We start from the raw sequence: 23253 nt of genomic DNA, 5'->3' as shown, positions 1-23253 counted from the left end.
TTAATTAGCATATAATTAAAAGTGGGTATAAATACAGCTTCCAACAGCCCATATGCTGCTACTCTGGGCACACTGCCCATGGGTTACCACTGCTTTGCAAGGAGCAGTATCTCTGCTGCTGCTGTACACTGCCACTTCAATAAAAATTGCTGTCTAACACCAGCAGCTTGCCATCGAATTTTTCCCTGGGTGAAACCAAGAACCTTCCTGGGCTAAGCCCCAGTTTTGGGGCCCTCTTGCCCTGCATCAGTTTTGAGTGTTTGGTTAAGCTGTATTTGGCCCCACCTGTTTCCACTGCCTAAGACAGTGGCAAAGTTAATCAATGTTTTTGTTTTTGACAAATGACCCCTGGGGAAAAGTCTTTGCACTGGGTGAGCCTGGAGTGAAATCAAACAAAGGCAGCCTTGTAAAATCTGCAGAACCACCAGATAGGTCAAATAATGACAGTTCTCTGGAAATTAAGCTCTTTAAAGGAGCTCCAACACCATTCTACTTCCCCTACTGGCTACCAGCCTGCTCGTTTTCACAATTGTGGGCTGTTGGTTTTCAAAGCTACAGTGGAGCTGGACATGTGGCTGTTAGAGTAGGGCAAGTCAAAATGACACAAAACTGGCTGTTCTTAGAGATTCAGCTATTTGAATAAATACTCCCTGGATTGCTGCAAACCTTTGGTAAATTTTCAGAGTTCTAAAAAAGTTAGTTCTGACAATTTTGCCAGTGTTCTCATTGCTGAAGAGAATTTTCAGAGGTCCTTACACCTTCATTTTGGCTGACATCACTTTAAGGCTATGATTAGAACATAGATCCTCTCACTCCTTGACCAAGCCTTCTTCTATTTAAATTAGTGGTCATCAAACTTTACGTATGTCAGAATTACCTGGAAGGCTTGTAAAAATACAGCTGGGCAACATACCTAGAGTTTCTGATTCAAGTCTGAGGTTGAACCTGAGAATTTGCATTTTATGTATTTATTTATTTTTTATTTTTATTTTTTTGAGACAGTCTCACTCTGTCACCTAGGCCGGAGTGCAGTGGCGTGATCTCTGCTCACTACAGCCTCTGCCTACTGGGTTCAAGGGATTCTCCTGCTTCAGCCTCCCGAGTAGATGGGACTACAGGCATGTGCCACCACGCCCAGCTAATTTTTGTATTTTTGGGTACAGACAGGATTTCACTATGTTGGCCAGGCTGGTCTTGAACTCCTCAAGTGATCTGCCCACCTCAGCCTCCCAAAGTGCTGGGATTACAGGCATGGGCCACCACGCCTTGCCAGAATTTGCATTTTTAAAAAGTTCCTAAGTAATGCTGATGCTGTTGGTGTAGGGATTATAATATACTTTAGGAACCACTGCAGTATATCATGTAGTACCTTCAATCCATTGCCTTAGATAGTGCTTCCCAACCCTGGAATCAACAATAATACATATAAGCGAATAATACATACTATTATCTCTATATAGTAATACAATACATAAGCTAATATGTATTTAGTACTTCATTGTAGGTATGATATGCTTTACATTGATTAGGTTATTTAATCTATACAACTCATGAATTGGTATTATTACTTTCCCATATTTATAATAAACTGGAAATCGAGGTCAGAGAACAAAGTAGATTGCCCAGAGGCACACGGCTACAAATGCAGGAGCCAGTATGTGAATATGTCTGCTTGATTCTAGAGTACAGGCTTTTTCAGCCTCCATACCAGTGTTTCTCATAGTAACATAGATCACTTATGATGCCTTGGTTAACTGTAGTTGGGACACGCATGCAGGATTAAAAACAATGACTCATATAGTGAGAAAGTGATTGCTATTCCGGCTCTATTTTTTCTATCCTTTGATGACATCATGATAAAAATACCATTTGAGTGCTGTATCTTTAATGTGTGTCTAATGCTTGGTAGCTTGCCCTTTTAACAAAGACAGTTGTCTTTAGACTTAGAGCCTTTAGTGGACAACAGTTTCTAGCCACAATTTAAAAACATTGTTTTGCATTCATTTTTCTTACAGTTACTTTCAACTTATAATAGGTGATGCTAGTTTTCCATTTATAGTACTTTTATAAAGTCTCCTTCTTAAAGAAATTAAAGAAAATATACATTTATTTAAAGAAAAAAGGACAGTGAGTAGTATACACAGATACAGTATGAAAAAGGTTGAAATTTGGGAATCCCTGCCTTCTAGAACAGGTTAATGTATCCAGTTGGGCCAATCTGGAACACCCTAAAGGGAAACTAGGGAAATGTAATTAAAATATGAATTTTGTTTTTTTTCAAAGAGGTACTTGGATGGTTAAAGTCAGAACTCCTATAGCAACACGTGTGAAGGCAGAGTAATATCAAGCAAGGAATGGTTTTTTGGTAAGAAACGTACTACAGGAGTGGGCTGGGATTCAGATTGGATTTCACAAAATGTCTGGCAAATTCTCATAAACCTAAATTTCTACAGTAAATTTTGGGTAATTTATTTCCATCAACAGCAAAAAAAAATTAGTCTCAGTTCACTGGCAAGAGAGTTCGCTGTTGTTAAGGGGACAGCACAAGAAGTGGGGCTCTTAATTCGCGGGGGAGGGGTGGCGATGAATATATCCTGGGCATCAGGCGACGGGTCGGGGGTGGGGAATAAGAGAAGACAGAGGGACTGTAATCAGATAAGCGGACACGTTTCAAGATGAATAAAGGGAATATGTGCGGAACGAAGAAACAGTTTTGTATCACTGACATAATTAACTAAACTGTTACCCAGGTTTAAATTAAGCAAGGTGTCCGGGGACTGCAGCTGTTGTATTTATTTTGGTTGCATGTGATGGGAGCTGTTACTTCCCGGCTTGACAAACAGCCTCAAGATGCAAGCTGGGAGGCTGTGGTCAGCCCAAGGCTATACAGAGGAAAGGCAGGCCTCCTCTGAACCCCGCCCCAGCAGAATAAGAAGCGAGGGGCAAGGGTCAGCGCGGAGAGGGAGGGTGGAAAGCGCCATATAGTGCCCAGGGTCAGGGTGGGTAAACAAGCCTTTCTTCGTGTCATTTTTTTTTTTTGTCTCACCGATATCTGCATTGTAACTGAACTTTATGCCAGGAGACCTTAACCTTGTTAATCAGGTTTCCAGTCGAATCAGGATCGATTTTAATGCCTCCATTTTGGTTGTTGCTGTTGGAATTTCCGAAAAAGCCTAACTGCGCCAGTCTTTCTGTTAGTTCTCCACACCCCCTTCCCTTTCCGAGACCCCGCCCTTTTCTCTCAGCCCAAACCACAAAAGGCCGCGCAGTTTTAGCTCCTACACGGTGCTCCGCCCCCTCCCCAAACGTCGCAGTACTGCAGGGAAAGGAGGTGGGCTCGGCTGGGGCGGGGGACTGAGTCGGCTTCGTCTTTCCGCTCTTCAGCCAATTGGTGAACTCCCCCTGAGGGAGATGGGGGAGCAGGCTGTAGAGAAGGTCCAAGTATTTTTCCCTTTTTCTGCCACGTCCCAACCATTGACGTGAGCCCACTCCTCAGGTTCTGATTGGGCGTATGCATTGTCCCCCAGCAGAGACCCTGTAAGCTGACTGGTCATCTCTGCTATGGGGGAGGGGCTTGCGTACTCTCCTCCTTCGCCTCCACCGCGGCGCAAGGGGCGGGACTCACCGCCACCGCCTCTGCTTCCGCCGCCGCCACCGCCGCCGCCGCCGCCACAGCCGCCAGCCGCTTCGCGTTCGGCGGGGGAGGAGTTGGAGGCGGAGAAGAAGGCGGTGGTGGCGGGTGGAGGTTCGAGCGCTGTTCTCGCTCCGGAGCCGCTGCACATTTCGGTGAGGGTTTTTTTTTTTTTTTTTCAGTCTGGCTTGTTCCGCTGTCGGGAGTGTGGGGGTCGGGGCGAGGAAATTGCTGCGTTCAGCTCCTCAGTTTCTCTGTCTCTAGCTTCGGAAGGAGCGGGGCTTGTCCCTGGCCTGCTGCGCCGGCCATGGTGGGTGGGGTTGATGGCTGTGGGAGGCCTTCTTCGCCTCCTGGGCCCTGTCCAGCCCGGACCCGGGCCGCGCTCCTATCCGGGACGGTCGCGCCCGCCGCCCCCCGACAGATGACATTGGTTGGTATCGGGGTCTTCGCTGCCGCTCTTTACTGCTGCCTCTTCTGCTGTCCTTGGTGACTTGGCCAAGGAGCCCGCTGGCTTTCCCCTACACTCGCCACTGTACAAGAGTTTGCCCCCCAACCAACACCTCACACCCACCTTCTGCGGTTTCCCGTCACCCCGCGTAGAGCGGAACCATCTTACGCCACAGGCCTGCAGCACCCCTCCCCCGAGGAGCCTTCTGTTGCCGTCGTTTTGCTGGGCGTCTGCATTTTCCCCGATTGTCAGTGAGGCTCGGCACGCAGACACCCCGCTCGAGCCGCAGCAGTCGCTCTACTCCCGGGATCAGCACCTTTCCGCCAGGGCTGCTCTCAGTTAGCGATGTCAGGCCAGAGCTCCTCTTGCAGATGCACCTTTAATTTGGCCTCCCTCAGATGACTGGTAATCATTTTGCGCACATTCAAAATGGTGAGGTTAAAGACGCTCAGACCAAGTTGAAGCAAAGGGGAGGTGGTAAATAGTCGTTTTGCAGGGAGGAGAGTAATCTGAGAGTTCCTTCTCCGGACATTAAAAAAAAAAAAATTTACATCCGCATAGGCGCTTCTTTTGAGTCTGCTGGTTCTGTGAAGTTTAAAATTTTCATTGCAGGCTTAATGTATTCTGTTTTATCATGAAATATTTGGTCACATTTCTTTAAAATGGCAGTCACCTTTGCTGAAGGCTACGGATCATTTGAAGTGTATGTGAATAAACCTGAGGATAACAGTAATAAACGTTTAAACTGTATTTTTCAGTGTTGTAATTGTCTTTTGGGGTTCATGTCATTTTTATATGAGATGACCACTTAATTTTAAAAATTCATTGCAGACATGCAAGTTTGATGTACACTTCAACAATATAAATAACGGACTGTTAGGTAAAATTTAAATATTTCTTTTCATCCCCCAGTCCCACTCCAGTGTAAAGTTGACAGTTTAGTGTTCATTTTTCAAAATCTTGCAAATGCACTTCTAGACACATACAAGTACACGTAAAGTTTTTTTTTTTGAGGGAGGCTATACCATATACCAAACATGTTTGCATACCGCTTGCTTATTGACTTAATTACATATGTTGGACATTTTTACTTTTTACATATAGGTCTCCCTAATACTTTTTAAAAGGCTAACTGGTATCTCGTGAGTTTGAATGGGCTATAATTTATTCTATTCCCTTTTTGAAAGACATTTAATTGCAGTTTCTTTTTGCTATTACAAATGATGATTTATAATGAAAATAACTTTCTAATTTATTGATCGATGTTTAATTACAAATTTTAATTCATCCTTGATTTTAAAAAATTAAACAGTATGGAAGAATGTAAGGTAAAAATTACCGCTTCCACTTCTAGTCCTGCTTGCATCTTGATTGTCAGCCACTGTTAACAATTCAGTAAACTTCCTCTATGTGTGATTATTTCTGGAGCATGGGTTCCTAGAAGTGAAGTTGCTCAGTTAAAAGATTATGCATATTTTAAATTTTGGTAACCCTTTCTCCCTCTTTATTACTCTTGTTGAAAATATTCTTGAATGTTTCTTATGCATTTCTTCTTCTAGGTAAACTTTAGACTGAACTAAAAATCCTTAGCTATTTTGAATAAGGTTATATTGAAATTTTAGATTAATTTGGAGACAACTGATCTTTATAGTATTGAGTCTCTCTCCTCAGAAATGTGGCCTCTCCATTTTATTCACATCTTGTTTTATACTGTTAGGGAAATTTTTATAGTTTTTCTTTTTTTTCTTCATACGTATAACATTCCTTCCTGGTATTCCTATTTTATGGTTTGATTCGTGTGGTGGATGGAAACTTTCAGTAACATTTCTCTCTCTCTGTTTTCTCTGGTTATAGCAAAACTTTTGAGTTTTCTATCATGTATCAGATTATTTTATTGAGTTGATTATCAGGAGATATTCACAGTTTTGTGGTTTCCTTTTCAGTTTTTATAACTTATGTGTTTTTCTCATTGCTTTTGCAATTATACATCTTATAAAATGTTGAGCACTGGTAGATTAAAAACTAATAGCACTGATAGCTAACAACAAACATGGCATTGTTTCTGACTTTAAGGGGGAATGCTTCTAATGTTTTAGCATTAATTATGATGTTTGGTGAAGCTTTCTGGTAAAGCCGCTGATATTAAAATATTTCCTTCTAGTCTTGGCTTTCCAAGATGCTTATGTTGTTGTTTTTGACATTTTTAAAAACCATAAATGAGTTTTCTTATATATATTTTTTTGACATCTTTTGAGGTGGGTATATGTGGGCATCACCAGTATTCCCTGGTTTATATTTTCCTGAGAGAGCACCCTCTTAGAAAATCAACCTTATTGAGGATAACTTAGATACAGTAAAATGTACTTATTTGAAATGTACAGTGTATTTTGTTTTGACAAATATGTGCTCTGTGACCACCACCACAGTCAAGAGTGGAATATTTTCATACCACAATTAAGATATAGAATATTTTCATCTCCCCCAAAGTTCCCTTTTGCAGTCAATCACAATTTCACCCTCAGGACTAGGAAAGCACTTATCATCTTTTTCTTGCTATAAATTGGTATCATTTTGTCTAGAATTTCATGTAAGTGGAATGATGTAATACATACTCTTTTGTATCTGGCTTTTTCTCTTGGCATGTTTTTCAGGATTATCCATGTTTTTCTGTATTTAACGGGTTCTCATTTTATTGCTGAATAGAAGTCCTTGGTATTGATTTACTAGTTTGTTGACCATTCCACCTATTTACAGATACTTGGATTGTTTCCAGTTTGGGGCTGTTATTAATAAATAGCCTTCATTTGTTGAACATTCCTTTATTCAATGAACATTCATTTATTTTGAATTTTTGTGAACATCTTTTTTTTCTTGGTAAATACCTAGACATGGAACTTGTTGGGTTGTATGATACATGGATGTTTATAAGAAACTGCCAAACTGTTTTCCAGAGTGGTTGTCACATTTTACATATCCATCAGCAGTGTATGACAGTTCCAATTGCTCCACATCATCCTCAGCACTTGGTTATTTCAGTCTTTTAAATTTTAGCCCTTTTAGTGGGTATATAGTAGTATCATACTGGGATTTTGATTTGCATTTACCAGATGACTAATGGTGCTGAGAATTTGCTCTAGTGTATGTCTTCCTTTGTGAAGTATCTGTTGACATTTTTTGCTCATTAAAAAACAAACAAACAACAATGGGTGGGCCTGGCGCGGTGGCTCACGCCTGTAATCCCAGCACTTTGGGAGTCCGAGGCAGGCGGATCACGAGGTCAGGAGATCCAGACCATCCTGGCTAACACGGTGAAGCCCCATCTCTACTAAAAATACAAAAAATTAGCCGGGCGTGGTGGCGGATACCTGTAGTGCCAGCTACTCCGGCTGAGTTAGGATAATGGCGTGAACCCGGGAGGTGGAGCTCGCAGTGAGCCAAGATCGTGCCACTGCACTCCAGCCTGGGCGACAGAGCGAGACTCCGTCTCAAAAAAAAAAAAAAAAAAAAATGGGTTTGTCTTATTGAGTTGTAAGCATTTTTTAATACATTCTTTATACAACTCATTTGACACACAGAGATACATAAACACACACACACACTGCAATCTGAAGCTTGTTTTTTTTTTATTTTCCTAACTTTAAAAGAAGAGCTTTTAATTTTGATAAATTCATCTTACCAACTTTTTCTTATGATTTGTGCTTCTGTGTTCTAAGAACTCTTTGCTTAATGCAAAGTTGTGCAGATTTACTCTTAGGATTTTTCTATAAGTTTTCTAGTTTTGGCTTTCATGTCAAGGCACATTATCCATTTTGGGTTAGTTTTTGTATATGGTGTGTAGTAAGGGTCAAGGCTCATTTTCTTTTCAAATGTATATGTAGTTCTAGCACCATTTGTTGGGACTACTTTCCTTTCCCCATTGAATTAACTTTGTCAAAAGTCAGTTGATCATATATGTAAATCTGTTCCTGTACTTTTCTCTTGATCTTTATGCCTATAATTTTGCCAGTACTGAGTTATCATGGTTATTTTTACTTATAAGTATTGAAATTAGGTAATATGAATCCTTGAACTTTATTCTTTTTCAAAATTGCCTTGGCTATTCTAACTTTACCGTAAAGCTTTTAGAGGCTGCGTGTTGGTTTCTACAAAAAGACCTGAAGGGATTTTAATTTGGTTTGTGTCGAATGCATAGATCAATTTAGGAAGAATCGACATCTTGAGTCTTCCAATTCATGAATACAGGTTGTCTCCATTTATGTAGGTCTTCTTTCATTTCCTTTGTCAGCATTTTGTAGTTGCAGCATGAAGATGTTGCTCATTTTGTTGGATTTATATCTAAGTATTTAATAATTGATACCATTATAAGTGATAATTTTCTTAAATTTTAGTTTCCAGTTATTCACTGCTATATGTAAAAATACAGTTGGTTTTTGCATATGGACCTTGATGCTTGCAACCTTGCTAAATTCATTCATTTGAGTAAATTTTTTGTAGATTCTCTGGAATTGTCCTATGTAGACAATCATGTTATTTGCAAATATAGATCAGTTTTATTATTTTTGAATTTATATGTAACTCCTTCCACCTTTTCTTCTTCTTAGACTGGCTAAGACCTCCATTATGATGTTGAATAGCAGTGGTGAAAGCAGATATCCTTCTCTGTTCCTGATCTTAAGAAGAAAGCTTTGAATCTTTCATTATTGAGTGTGATAGAGTGGTGCTATAGCTTGAATGCTTATGTCCCTTCCAAAATTCATAGCATTGAAACATAATCCCCATTGTGAGGGGGATCTCAAGGAGGTGATTAGGTCATGAAGCTTCTGCCTTCATTAATGGATTCGTGTGCTTATAAAAGAGGTCCCAGAGAGCTCCTATCCCCTTATGCCGTATGAGAACACAGTGAAAAAACTGCAGTCTGTGAACCAGGAAGTGGCTCTCACCAAACGCTGAATCTACCAGCACCTTGATTTTGGACTTCCCAGCCTCCAGAACTGTGAAAAATAAATTTCTTTTATTTTTATTTCTATTTTTTTTTGACAGAGTCTTGCTCTGTCGGCTAGGCTGGAGTGCAGTGGCAGTCTCAGCTCGCTGCAACCTCGGTCTCCCAGGCTCAAGCAATTCTGCCTCAGCCTCCCGAGTAGCTGGGATTACAGGCGTATGTCACCATGCCTGGCTAATTTTTGTATTTTTAGTAGAGACGGGGTTTTACCATGTTGGCCAGGCTGGTCTCAAACTCCTTACCTCAGGTAATCCACCTGCCTTGGCCTCCCAAAGTGCTGGAATTACAGGTGTGAGCCACCGCGCCCAGCCGAGAAATAAATTTCTGTTGTTTATAAGCCACTTCAGTCTATGGGAGCTTGTTATAGGAGTCCTAATGGACTAAGACAAGTGGCCTTTTATCATATTGAGGATGTTCCCATTCTATTCTTGGATTGCTGAGAGGTTTTTGTTGTTGTTGTTGTTGTTGTTGTTGTTTTTGAGATGGAGTCTTGCTCTGTTGCCCAGGCTGGAGGGCAGTGGCACCATCTCAGCTCACTACAGCCTCCGCCTCCTGGGTTCAAGTGATTCTTCTGCCTCAGCCCCCTGAGTAGCTGGGATTACAGGTACACGCCACCAAGCCTGGCTAACTTTTTTGTATTTTTGTAGAAATGGGGTTTTACCATGTTGGCCAGGCTGGTCTTGAACTCCTCACCTCGTGATCTGCCCGCCTTGGCCCCCCAAAGTGTTGGGATTACAGGCATGAGCCACTGCGCCTGGCAGAGAGTTTTTTTTTTTTTTTTTTTTAAATCATGAGTGGATGTTGATTTTAGTCAGGTATTATTACTGTATTTATTGAGATGATCATATGGTTTGTTTCTGTGTTAATGTGATGAATTACGTTAACTTATTTGCGAATGTTGAATCATCTTCCATTCTGTGGTTAAACCTCACTTGGTGATGGTGTATTATCTACTATCATTTTTATAAATTGGTGAAATTTTTTTTTTTTTTGCATCTATGTTCATGAAAGATACTTTTTCATATAATGCTGGTTTCATAGAGTTGCAAAGTGTTTCTTATATTTTTGAAAAAGAATTTATTAGGATTAGTATTATTTGTTTTACAATTTTTTTTAGAGTTTGCATGTGAACTCTTCTGGTCCTAGAGTTTTCTTTGCTGGAAGGCTTCAAAGGATAAGTCCAATTATCCTTTAATAAATACAGGATTATTAGGGTTATCTATTTCTTCTTGAAAGCTTTCGGTCTTTGTATGAATCACTTTCACTCACTAAGTGAGCGTTAGTAGTTTTTGTCTTTCAAGGCATTTGTCTTATTTCATTTATTCGTTGTCATAAAGTTGTTTCTTAATTATTTTAATGCCTATAACGTCTGTAGTGGTGTCTTTCCTTTCATTCTTGTTATTAGCAGTGTGACCTCTCATTTTTATTTGGTTCTAGGTTTATTTTATTAATCTTTTCAGAGTCAACTTTTTATTTGATTGCTTTTTTTTTAATTGTTAGTTTTATTGATTTCTGCTTCTTACTATTTCTTTCTATATGCTTTGGGTTTAAATTCCTCTATGTTAATTTATTAAGGTGTAAGCTTAGGTCATTGACTTGAGACCTTTTTTCTTTTCCTTCCAAGCACTGCCTGAGGTGCTTACACAAATTTGATGCACTGATTTTTTTTAAAGTTCTTATGTCACTTCCACTTTGACCCATGAAGGTTGCTGTTTAATTTCCAAATATTTGGTGATTTTGCATGTCTCTTTCTTTGTATAATTTATTTTAAATTCTTTGATATTTGTTTTATGACCAGAATATGGTTACTCTCAGTAAATGTCCCATGTACACTTCAAAATAATGTGTATTCTGCTGTTTAGCAGTGGAGTATTCTATATCAAGTTGATTGATGATGCTTGTTAGGCCTTCTCTTTCCTTACTGAGTTTTTGTTTGTTTCATTGATCATTGAGAGAAGAGTTGAAGTCTCCAAGTATAATGGTAAGTTTGTTTATTTCTCCTTTTCAGTTTTTGCATCATGTGTATTGAACCTCCTGTTAGGTGCATGTAAATTTAGGATTGTTAAAACTTTTTGGTGAATGAACCCCTTAATCATTATATAATGCCCTCTTTATCTCTGATAGTATTCCTCATTCCAAAGTCTACTTTATCTAATATTAATACAGCCTCTCCAGCCTCCTTTTAGTGTTTGTATATTATTTTCCATCCATTTAATCTGTCTTTTATTTAAAATGGGTTTGTTCTAGACAGCCTTTTTTAATTCATCTTGAAAAATCTGTTTTTACATTGAAGTGTTTAGACTATTTACATTTAATGTAATTTTGATGTAGTTGGATTTAAATATACAATCTTAATTGTTTTCTACTTATGTGCTCTCTGATGCCTATTTTTGAGTGCATTTTATCTTCACCATTGGCTCACTACTTACACTCAACTTTTCCTCTCTTTTAAAAAGTTAATTGGCTTCTCTGTGATTTATATTTTACATCTTTAATAATAGACCATATGGAAGCAATACTATACCACATTTTATATAGTGTCAGAGCTTTACAACAGTATATTTACAATGTATATTTACAATTTCTCCTTATCTTTTGTGCTATTACTGTTTTACCTTTTACAAATGCCATAAATGCATAATACCTTGTAATATTTGTTTTATTCCTGTGCTGTCTAGTATGGTAGTCATTAGCCAGTGTAGCTATTTAAATTTGAATTTAAAGTAGTTAGTACAAGTTAAATTAAAATTGATTTTCTGTGTTATAGTGGCCTCTTTTCCAGTGCTTATTCTTTCTGCATGAAGAACTTCCTTTCACATTTCTTGGACTTCAATTCTACTGGTAACAAAGTTCCAAAGATTGTTTCACAAATACTTTGTTTCACTTTTTCTTTTGAAAGATTTTGCTGGATATAAATTTATTGTTCACAGTGTTTTTCTAATATTAAGGATGCTATTTATTATCTTTTGACTTGCACAGTTTCAAATAAGAATTTGGCTGTGATTCTTATTTAGTTCCTTTTTTCTGCTGTCAGTATCAAATATGTTTTATCAGTGGTTTTTAAATTTTATTTTATTTGTTGTTTTTTTTTGAGACAAGGTCTCGCTCTGTTGCCCAAGTGGAGTGCAGTGGTACAAGCTTGTCTCACTATAGCCTTGAGCTTCTAGACTCAAGCAATTCTCCCACCTTAGCCTCCAAAAATCCTGCATTTGCAGGCCTGAGCCACTGTGCCCAGGCTGTCATTGGTGGTGGTAGCGGTTGTTTTTGAGACAGAGTCTCACTCTGTCGCCCAGGTTGGAGTGCAATGGCGCCATCTCAGCTCACTGCAACCTCTACCTCCCGGGTTCAAGTGATTCTCATGCCTCAGTCTCCCAAGTATCTGCGATCACAGGCTCCCGCCACTACGTCTGGCTAATTTTTGTATTTAACAGGGTTTCACCATGTTGGCCATGCTAGTCTCAAACTCCTGGCCTCAAGTGGTCTGCCCTCCTTGGCCTCCCAAAGTGCTGGGATTACAGGCATGTGTCATTTGGTTTTTTTGTTGTTGTTGTTTTGTTTTTTGTTTTTGAGACAGAGTCTTGCTTTGTCTCCCAGGCTGGAGTGCAGTGGCGCCATCTCGGCTCACTGCAAGCTCTGCCTCCCAGGTTCATGCCAGTCTCCTGCCTCAGCCTCCTGAGTAACTGGGGCTACAGGCACCCGCAACCATGCCTGGCTAATTTTTTTTGTATTTTTTTAGTAGAGACGGGGTTTCACCATGTTAGCCAGGATGGTCTCAATCTCCTGACCTCGTGATCCACCTGCCTCTGCCTCCCAAAGTGCTGGAATTACAGGTGTGAGCCACCATGCCCGGCCATATCATTCGTTTTTTATAGCAGGTTAAAGATGTTAACATCTTGGGATATGTGTACATTTTTGTGTGTTTTGTATTTATACTGCTTTTGTAGGGGGGAATCACTGAGCTTCTTGGGATTTATGATCTTTTAAATAATGTATGAAAAATTCACAGCATCTTTCTCTTCTAATGTTTCCACTGCCCGCGACACCCCCCCGCCCTTCCCCCCCCTCCCCCTGCTGGTTTGCTCTCTTTTTGTGGGGTTCCAGTTAAACTCATGGCAGCTCATTTAATGCAGTCCACAATTCTTGGAGGCTCTGTTTTGGTTTTTGTTGCTGTTGTTTTTTAACATGTTTCTTTTCAGTTAAATCACTTTTTATCTAGGCTTGGATCATTTCTTTTGACTTATCTTTTTCTTTTTTTTTTTTTGAGACAGTCTCAGTCCATCACCCAGACTGGAGTGCAGTGGTGTGATCTTGGCTCACTGCAACCTCTGCCTCCCGACTTCAAGCGATTCTCCGTACCTCAGCCTCCTGAGTAGCTGGAATTATGGGCGTGCACCACCACGTCTCACTAATTTTTTGTATTTTTAGTAGAGACGGGTATCACTATGTTGGTCAGGCTGATCTTGAACTCCTGACCTAAAGTGATCCACCCATCTTGGCCTCCCAAATTGCTGGGATTACAGGTGTGAGCCACTGAGCCTGGCCTGATTTATCTTGAGCTCACTAAAAGCTTCCTCCCCTAGTTTTTTAATGAGCCCATAGAATGCATTCTTCATTTCTGTTAACTGTTTTTTATTTTTTGCATTTCCATTTTCATCTCTCCTGAAATTTCTCATGAGTTGATGCATGTTCCTACCTTTGTGCTAGAGCCTTTAAAAGGGTAATCATAGTTATTTTAATTTTCTTCTCTGATAATTCTGTTAATTGCTTTATCTGGTTCTGTTTGTTGTTGTCTCTTGATAAAGAGGGTTTTTTCCTCCTCAGCTTTTTTGTCTTGTAATTTTTGACTGAATGGCAGACTTTATATGCAGAACAGTAGAGATTGTGGCAAATAATTCTTATGTCTGGATGTGAGTCTGCTTCTGCATCTGCTAGGCTTTTAGTGTGGTGTGGGGTTGATTCAATCTAATTCGTGATTGAGATGGGTTTGGATTTCGTTTCTGTGGTTGCATTGTGCTTAGTGTTACCTTGTGCTTAGTGTGACAGCTGAAGTGCCTGATTTTTCTAAGTGTTCCTACTTCACTGTCAACTTTCAGCTTTCTCTGTGTGCCCATACCTCAGTGGAGAAGTTTCTCCACACACTGTCATTATCCCCAGCAGTAGACTGTTGTTTCTTGATGCTGACTAGCCTGGAGATGGAGGCAGAGTTTTCTCTGTCTTCCTTATCTGTACTCAGTGTTACACAAGCCCTTTGTCTCTTGTTTTTGGGTATGGGCCAATGATGCTGTACCTTCTCTCCATGGTAGCCAAACTCTGCCTCATATCTTTTTTTTTTTTTTTTTGAGACAGAGTTGCACTCTGTCACCCAGGCTGGAGTGCATTAGCGTGATCTCGGCTCACTGCAACCTCTGCCACGCAGGTTAAAGCGATTCTTCTGCCTCAGCCTCCCAAGCAGCTGGGATTACAGCCATGTGCCACCAAACCCGGCTAATTTTGTGTTTTTAGTAGAGATGGGGTTTCACCATGTTGGCCAGGCTGGTCTCGAACTCCTGACCTCAGGTGATCCTCCCACCTTGGCCTCCCAAAGTGCTGGGATTACAAGCCTGAGCCCTGCACCCGGCCCCATTTCTTTGATAGGTTTTGTGCAGGAGAGATTTTCTGCTCCTTCCCCAGTGGTAGCAAATCTTCAGTGTACTGGTATAGGAGCCTGGACTATAAACTGTTTCCTGACTCTGCTCTAGGAGTAAAGGTCTTTTTCTTTTTCTTTTTTTTTTAAATTATACTTTAAATTCTAGGGTACATGTGCACAATGTGCAGGTTTGTTACATATGTATACATGTGCCGTGTTGGTGTGCTGCACCCATTAACTCGTCATTTACATTAGGTATATCTCCTAATGCTATCCCTCCCCCCTCCCCCACCCCACAACAGGCCCCGGTGATGTTCCCCTTCCTATATCCAAGGGTTCTCCTTGTTCAGTTCCCACCTATGAGTGACAACATGTGGTGTTTGGTTTTTTTGTCCTTGCAATAGTTTGCTGAGAACTAATGATGGTTTCGAGCTTCATCCATGTGCCCACAAAGGACATGAACTCATCCTTTTTTTATGGCTGCATAGTATTGCATGGTGTATATGTGCCACATTTTCTTAATCCAGTCTATCATTGATGGACATTTGGGTTGGTTCCAAGTCTATGCTATTGTGAATAGTGCCGCAGTAAACATACGTGTGCATGTGTCTTTATAGCAGCATGATTTATAATCCTTTGGGTATATACCCAGTAATGGGATGGCTGGGTCAAATGGTATTTCTAATTCTAGATCCTTGAGGAATCACCACACTGTCTTCCACAATGGTTGAACTAGTGTTCCTATTTCTCCACATCCTCTCCAGCACCTGTTGTTTCCTGACTTTTTAACGATCGCCATTCTGACTGGTGTGGAGATGGTATCTCATTGTGATTTTGATTTGCATTTCTCTGATGGCCAGTGATGATGAGCATTTTTTCATATGTCTCTTGGCTGCATAAATGTCTTCTTTTGAGAAGTGTCTGTTCCTATCCTTCACCCACTTTTTGATGGGGTTGTTTTTTTCTTGTAAGTTTGTTTGAGTTCTTTGTAGATTCTGGATATTAGCCCTTTGTCAGATGAGTAGATTCTTTTACTCATACCCTAGCAGCAATGGAGGACAGAGATTGCTGCCCTTCCCTAGTGGTTTAAAGTTGTTGTTGGCCGTTCACCGTGGCTCACGCCTGTAATCCCAGCATTTTGAGAGGCCACGCTGGGTGGATCATTTGAGATCAGGAGTTCAAGACCAGCCTGGCCAACATAGTGAAACCCTGTTTCTACTAGAAAAAAAAAACAAAAAATATCTGGGCGTAGTGGCGGGTGCCTGTAATCCCAGCTGCTTGGGAGGCTGAGGCAGGAGAATTGCTTGAACCTGAGAGGCAGAGGTTGCAGTGAGCCAAGATCGCACCACTGCCCTCCAGTCTGGGCAATAGAACGAGACTCCGTCTCAAAAAATAAAATAAAAATAAAGTTGTTGCTTTTTTTTTTTCTACTAGGAGAAGTGTTGAGGAAGGGTTTCATTCATTTCCCTTGTTGGCAGTCAGTCCGTTTCACAACTGAACTGGGAATGACACTCCAGCTTTCTATACCCTGTAGAAGTGGAACTCCTACAAGTGGTGCATTTCTAAAATTAACTTTTTATAGCTGTTTACTGTAGTGACTTTTGTATCTTGATGTTATAGCTGTCTGTCTTAATCTGTTCCTGCTGCTATAACAAAATACCTAAGACTGGGTAATTTATAAAGAAAATAAATTTATTTTTCACAATTCTAGAGCCTGGATGTTCCAAATCAAGGTGCCAGTGGGTTTAGTGTTTGGTGAGGGCTGCTGTCTGCTTCCAATATGGCACCTGTTGCTTGTCTTTACACAGCAGAAAATGAAAGAGCGAAAAGGGCTAAGTAGTTTCCCCCAGCCTTTTATAAGGTACTAGTCCATTCATGAGGGCAGAGCCCTATGACTTCATCACTTTTCAAAAGACCCCACCTTTTAATACCACCGCAATGTGGATTAAGAATTTTGGAAGATGGCACAAACATTCAAACCATAGCACTGACAATATCACTAAATTTTCTTATATGTCTCAATTTTTTCTTTTATATTTCTTTTCACTTTCTTTAGTAGACTTTTAGTTTTACTTTTTACAGATTCCTAGTTTCATTGGTATCGGTTATTTTCCTCTTTCTCCCCCACCCCCACCCCCACCCCTGCCTTTTTTTTTTTTTTCTTTTTTTGGTCTTGCGATGGTTAGAACTTTACATGTTAGGCCGGGTGCGGTGCTCATCCCCGTAATCCTAGCACTTTGGGAGGTCGAGGCAGGTGGATCACGAGGTCAGGAGTTCAAGACTAGCCTGACCAACATGGTGAAACCCCGTCTCTACTAAAAATACAAAATTTAGCGGGACGTGGTGGCGCATGCCTGTAATCCCAGCTATTCAGGAGGCTGAGGCAGGAGAATTGCTTGAACCTGGAAGGCAGAGGTTGCAGTGAGCCGAGATCACGCCACTGCACTCTAGCCTGGGCCACAGAGTGAGACTCTGTCTCAAAAAAAAAAAAAAAAAAAAAAGAACTTTACATGTTAAGTAGAAGTAATGATTGGTATTTTAAGAAGAAAATGATGCTGACATTTCACCATTCAGTATAATTTTGCCGTACCTTTTGGACTGATTAGTTTTATAAGGCTTAGTAAATTATTTTCCATTTTTGGTTTCTTGAGAGTTCTTTTAAACTTTAATGAATGTTGAATTTCATTGAATGCTTTTTCTCCATCCACTGAAGTGTTTACTAATGAAAATAGAAGTAATCATATCTAATGATGAGTCTTTTGCAGTAGACTCAGTATATACTGTTTTCAAATATATTGCTGTAATGGCTTGCTAATATCTCAGACTTTTTCTTTCTTTATCACTGGAGTTGACATCTAATTTTTTATTTTTGTAACCTGTCTGCTTGTCTGGCCATTTCTTTTTTTTTCTTTTTTTTTTTTTTGAGATAGAGTTTCGCTCTTCTTGCCCAAGCTGGAGTGCAGTGGTGCATTCTCGGCTCACTGCAATCTCTGCCTCCCGGGTTCAAGTGATTCTCCTGCCTCAGCCTCCCGAGTAGCTGGGATTACAGGCATGTGCCTCCACACCCAGCTAATTTTTTGTATTTTTAGTAGAAATGGGGTTTCACCACGTTAGTCAGGCTGGTCTTGAACTCCTGACCTCATGTGATCTGCTGGCCTCGGCCTCCCAAAGTGCTGGGATTACAGGCATGAGCCTTGTCTGGCTAGTTCATGAAGATTTTACTCTGCTCTTAAAATGAGCTACATGTCTTTAAAACAAGCTTATGAAATCCTTTTCTATTCTCTGGACAAACAGGTTTAGCACTGGAATTATCTATTTGTATATTTGGATAGAAATTTCTATTAAGACCTGTGGGCCTATTGTTTTCCTTGTGGGAAGATTTTTATTCCCTCCCCCGAAGTCAGGGCCTTACTCTGTCACCCAGGCTGGAGGGCAGTGGCACAATCACGGCTTACTTCAGCCTCCATCTCCCAGGCTCACGTGACCTCCCACCTCAGCCTCGCATGTAGCTGGGACTACAGCACACGCCACCATGCCCGTCTAATTTTTATATTTTTTATAGAGATGGGTTTTCACCATGTTGCTCAGGCTGGTCTTGAGCTCCTGGGCTCAAACTATCCACCTTCTTCATCCCAAAGTGCTGGAATTGCAGGCATGAGCCACTGGGCCCAGCCTAGTGCTGTCCTTTTAAGTTATATTTTTATTTTGTTAATTCTTGTCAACGTTATTTCTCATGTATGTTACACTTTTTATTGTGAGTTCATATTCTTTGAAATTTTACATGTGAGAATTCTGACCTGGGTTGAGAGTGAGGTGACTTTCAACTGGGAGGAATTAGCTTTGCTTCTGCCGGGTACTTGGAACACTGCTCCCTAAGACTTAACAATATTCTGACTTTCTGGCTTGTTGGCTCATACAGATAGTATGAATTGCAGCCACAAATCTAATGAGGTTGAGTTGTGGCTTTGAATTGTTAGGCGAGATATTCCTCCTCTTTTCTACTATTCACCCCCTACCCAGAGTTAAGACATTTTTATTTGCTTTGAGTTGTGAGGTTTAAAAAAAAATTTTTATCTGCCATACTGTTAGAAACAGAAATTGAGAAGTTGAATTTTCATGAGATCTTGTTTTATATATGTGTTTCTTATTCTCTAATGTTTATCTGTGTGGTTAGAAGAAGGATCTCATGTCCTAGGTTTCCCAGGATAATTCCACTTCACACCTTATATTTTTGTCTAATAATTAATTGCATGTTTTTGCATTCTGAAGTGTCTTAGACAGCCTAGTTTTCAGTGGTCCATAAAAACCTGTTGCTAACACAGTGATTAAACATTTTTCTGCCAATTACAAAAGGAGCACAAGTGTGTGAAAGAAAAGTTGGAAAACAAAAAATGGAAGGCATAAAAATCACTCACAGACCCAAAATGAAATACAACTTTAACACTTGAATATATTTTCTTCCAGTGACTATTTAAAGCTTTTTATTGCACTGTGCTTATAAAAATGGGTGTAACTTCAGTAAATTAGCACAGGCTGAAGTCAATATAAACACCAGCCAAGTCGAGAACTAGCATGTGGCTGGGCATGGCGGCTCACACCTGTAATCCCAGCACTTTGAGAGGCGGAGGCGGGTGGATCACTTAAGGTCAGGAGTTTGAGATCAGCCTGGCCAACATGGTGAAACCCCATCTCTACTAAAAATACAAAAATTATCCAGGCATGGTGGCGGGTACCTATAATCCCAGCTACTCGGGAGGCTGAGGCAGGAGATTTGCTTAAACCCAGGAGGCGGATGTTGCAGTGAGCCAAGATTGCGCTACTGCACACCAGCTTGGGCAACAGAGTAAGACTCTGTCTCCAAAAAAAAAAAAAAAAAAAAAAAAAGAGAATTAGAATGTTACTAGCACATCCTTCTGCTATAATACCTTATTCTTTTTGTCTTCAGCATTTTGTCATCCTCCTCTCCAGAAAAGGTGATTATTCTCTCTTGGTATGTAACACCACAGATTAATTTTGCTTGTTTTTGAACTTTTATAAAAATGGAACATACAGCATGAATTTTTTTGTATTTGGCTGTTTTTCATTTCATTCATTTTTGTGAGATCCATTTGTGTTTGTAATACTCCTGTTGTGGGTAGCTATGGTTCATTTTTGTTGTGTAGTATTCTGCCTACAAATATATTCTGTTATATTCACCCATTTTGCTGTTGAACATTTGGGTTGTTTACAGTTTGGAATTATTATGGACATTGCTTCTATGAACATTTTTTTTAATTTCTTTATTTTTTTAGAGATGGGGTCTGGCTTTGTTGCCCAGGCCAGAATGCAGTGCTAGGATGATAGCTCACTGCAGCCTCGAACTCCTGGGCTAGGGCAGTCACCCTCAACAGCCTGCCATATAAGTGGGACTGTAGCTGAACATTTTTATATGTCTTGGTATGCATTTGTAAGATGGACTGCTTAACCATATCATATGCATATGTTCAGGTTTACTAGGTGCTTCCAAAAAGTTTTCTGAGATGAATGCAGAGATGTATATTTACAGCTGTAATATGAAAATTGCCTAACATCCAGTTGCTTAACATCCACACCAACATTTGATATGGTTAATATTTTAATTTTTATCTCCGGTGTGTAATGATAACTTGTTCTAATTTATGACTTCAGCCAGTTTATGAAATTGATACCTTTTCATATGTTTCTTAGCCATTTGGGTAACCTTTTCTGGAGTGCGTCTCAGCAGGTTATCACATTTCTTTTGGATTATCTTATTCTTTTTTATATTTAGGAGTATGTTATATATCCTATATGTGAGCACTTTGATACTTGTATGTAATGTACATTTCTTTTCTCATTTGTGGATTTCCTTTTCAGTCTCTGAATGGTATCTTTTTATGAATGGAAATTTTAAATTCCATTTTGCAGTTCATTGGCCCCTTATTTAGGAAATTTTAGTTTTTGTTGCCTGCTTTAAAAAAATCTTTCTTTACTCCAACATTGTAAAGATTTCTCCTTTCTTTGGATTTACTGTTTTGCCTTGTACATTTAGATCTACATTGCTTTTGGAATTGAGTTTTGCATTTTGTGGGAAACAGGCCGGATTTCGTTTCTGCATCAGTATCCAATTAATGTAGTGTGTTCAGTGAAAAAACGTATCTTGTCCCTAGAGCTCTGTAATGTAGCATTGTCATAAGTCAATTGTATGTAATGTGTATCAGTTTCAGGACTCTGTTCCTGTGTTGGTCCTATATGGTACTAGCCACATGTGGCTGTTGAAGATTAAAATTAATATAGGCTTGAACACTGCAGAATTTCATCATCACATAAAGTTCTATTGTTTGACACTTTTTTTTTTTTTTTTTTGAGATGGAGTCTTGCTCTGTTGCCCAGGCTGGAGTGCATTGGGGCAGTCTTGGCTCACTGCAACCTCCACCTCCTGGGTTCAAGTGATTCTCCTGCCTCAGCCTCCCGAGTAGCTGGGACTACAGGTGTGCACCACCATGCGCGGCAAATTTTTGTATTTTTAGTAGAGACAGGGTTTCACCATATTGGCCAGGCTGGTCTCCACCTCCTGGCCTCCAGTGATCCACCCGCCTCGGCTTCCCAAACTGCTGAGATTTCAGGCAAGAGCCACCATGCCCGGTCTGTTTGACACTTTTTCTATCCTATTCCATTGATACATTTGTCTGCCTATTCCCTAACAAGCCTCTTATTATCATAAGTTTTTAAGGTTTGTCTTCTGAAAGAGTTACCTCTTTGTACCTTGTTCTTTTTAGTGATAACTTTGGTTATTCTTGGCCATTTACACTCCTATTTACATTTTAGAATCACCTTGTCAATTTTCCCCCAAAAAAATGCCTGCTGGGATTTTATTAGGATTACATTTAACCCATAGATTATTTAAGGAGAATTGAAATTCATAAAACTGAATCTTCCAAGCCAATGAGTATGGGATTTTTCTTCACGTAGTTATGTCTTCTAAAATTTCTGTGAGTAATATTCTGCATCTTTCATTGGGTTTCTTTCTAGGGATTTGATGTTTATAGTTGCTCTTGTAAACGATATCCTTTCAAGGTAATATTAGTAATAAATTTAGTTTTCTTGCTATGTGTTGGAATGTGATAATACATTTTTATATTGACTTTGTATCTGTCAACCATCTAAAAGTTATCACTATAGAACTTTACTTGTAGGTACTTTCTTCCTTTTTTTTCATATATAATCATGTTATCTGTGAATAATGAGATTTTTCTTTCCTTTCCAATTCTTAAACTTTTTATTTTCTCTCATTTTTAATTCACTGACAAGCACACTCACTTGGTAGGTGTTTGAGTATATGTATTCAGCTCAGATGACATGGACTTCTTAATGGAAACTGTGGAAGCCAGGAAACAATAGGGGTACATCTTTATAGTGCTCCAAAAAAGAAAAAAAAAAGGTGTCTAATGTAGAATACTATTCTCATTTGAATATCCTTCAAAAACAAAGACAATTTTAGACAGACAGAAGCAGAGAGGGAAGTTGTCACCAGCAGACTCATAACAAACATTAAAATATGTTATTTAGGCTAAAGGAACATCAGACAGATGGAGGCATGGAAATGGAATAAGTAGACATTTTCAGAAAGGGATATTGAAGATTATTGGGTGTTTGAAACAGTCTTGATAATGTTTGGTGGGGCTTACATGTAGGGTGAGCTATATGAAGATAACAACCATGGACATGGAGGAGTTAAACTGTTATGTGAGTTTCTTTCATTTTTTGGGGACCTGGTAAAAGAACTACAGACAGTGCTCAACTGGTTTCGTTTATGATTTTTCAACTTTACAATGGGTTTAGTAGGGTCTTTAATGCATTTTCAACTTAATAATATTTTCATTTTACAGTGGATTTGTCAGGGCGTAACCCCATTTTAAGTCCAGGAGCATCTGTAGTTTGAAGTAGACAGTAAGAGTGTAGGTTACACTTTGATATAAGGACAAGCTGAAATGGACTTGCCCAAACATAAACCAAAACCAGACTTCTGTGATGTTAAGACAATCTACTTGCAATATAATTGCCTGCCAAAAGAAAACTTAAAATACTCATTAGAGAAAGGTAAGTTATTTAGAGCTTCTAGGAAATATCATCCAGCATACATCAAGGATACATTTTGTAATTTCTAGGAAAACCACTAAGATAATGATATTTTAAAGGATGTATCAAAAAAGCTAGCAGATGAAATGGAATAATAAAAAAAAATTACCAAGGAATTCAAGAACGGAGGAATAAAGGAACAAAGGACAGGTGAGATGATTGAAAATAATAGCAAGATGGTAGATTTAAACCAGACTACATTGGTAATTATGTTAAATGTGAATGGATTAAATATTCTAACAAAAAGAGAAAGATTATCAGACATTATATATAAGTGAGTAAGACCTACCTATATTCTATTTATAAGAAAAGCACTTTACAAGTAAAGGCACAGGTAAAATGAAAAGATGGAATCAGTATTGTTGCAAATACCAAAAGAAAGCTGATGTGGCTATATTAATACCAGACAAAAT

At 39.5% G+C, this 23253-nt stretch overlaps 1 protein-coding gene across 1 annotated transcript in view, besides 4 other annotated features; it reads left to right on the top strand.

Annotated features, from left to right (window-relative positions):
• Nucleotides 3020-3199: an enhancer, noted in NCBI's record as "active region_22881". NCBI's record gives its function as "activates an Ori minimal core promoter by ATAC-STARR-seq in GM12878 lymphoblastoid cells {active_cell/tissue: GM12878}" and the evidence as "EXISTENCE:reporter gene assay evidence [ECO:0000049][PMID:35858748]".
• Nucleotides 3654-23253, top strand: part of PJA2 (praja ring finger ubiquitin ligase 2) — a 75253-nt gene continuing 55653 nt past the window's right edge. Inside the window, exon 1 of the mRNA NM_014819.5 lies at nt 3654-3786. The gene's annotated coding sequence lies outside the window, so the exon portion shown is untranslated. The remainder of the gene's footprint in view (nt 3787-23253) is intronic.
• Nucleotides 3710-3789: a silencer, noted in NCBI's record as "silent region_16224". NCBI's record gives its function as "represses an Ori minimal core promoter by ATAC-STARR-seq in GM12878 lymphoblastoid cells {active_cell/tissue: GM12878}" and the evidence as "EXISTENCE:reporter gene assay evidence [ECO:0000049][PMID:35858748]".
• Nucleotides 4310-4429: an enhancer, noted in NCBI's record as "active region_22880". NCBI's record gives its function as "activates an Ori minimal core promoter by ATAC-STARR-seq in GM12878 lymphoblastoid cells {active_cell/tissue: GM12878}" and the evidence as "EXISTENCE:reporter gene assay evidence [ECO:0000049][PMID:35858748]".
• Nucleotides 4470-4569: an enhancer, noted in NCBI's record as "active region_22879". NCBI's record gives its function as "activates an Ori minimal core promoter by ATAC-STARR-seq in GM12878 lymphoblastoid cells {active_cell/tissue: GM12878}" and the evidence as "EXISTENCE:reporter gene assay evidence [ECO:0000049][PMID:35858748]".

This window comes from Homo sapiens, chromosome 5, assembly GCF_000001405.40.
Source record: "Homo sapiens chromosome 5, GRCh38.p14 Primary Assembly".
Lineage (NCBI taxonomy): Eukaryota > Metazoa > Chordata > Mammalia > Primates > Hominidae > Homo > Homo sapiens.
Note: the sequence above shows the minus strand (reverse complement) of the source record. Positions and strands in the feature narration are given on the sequence as shown.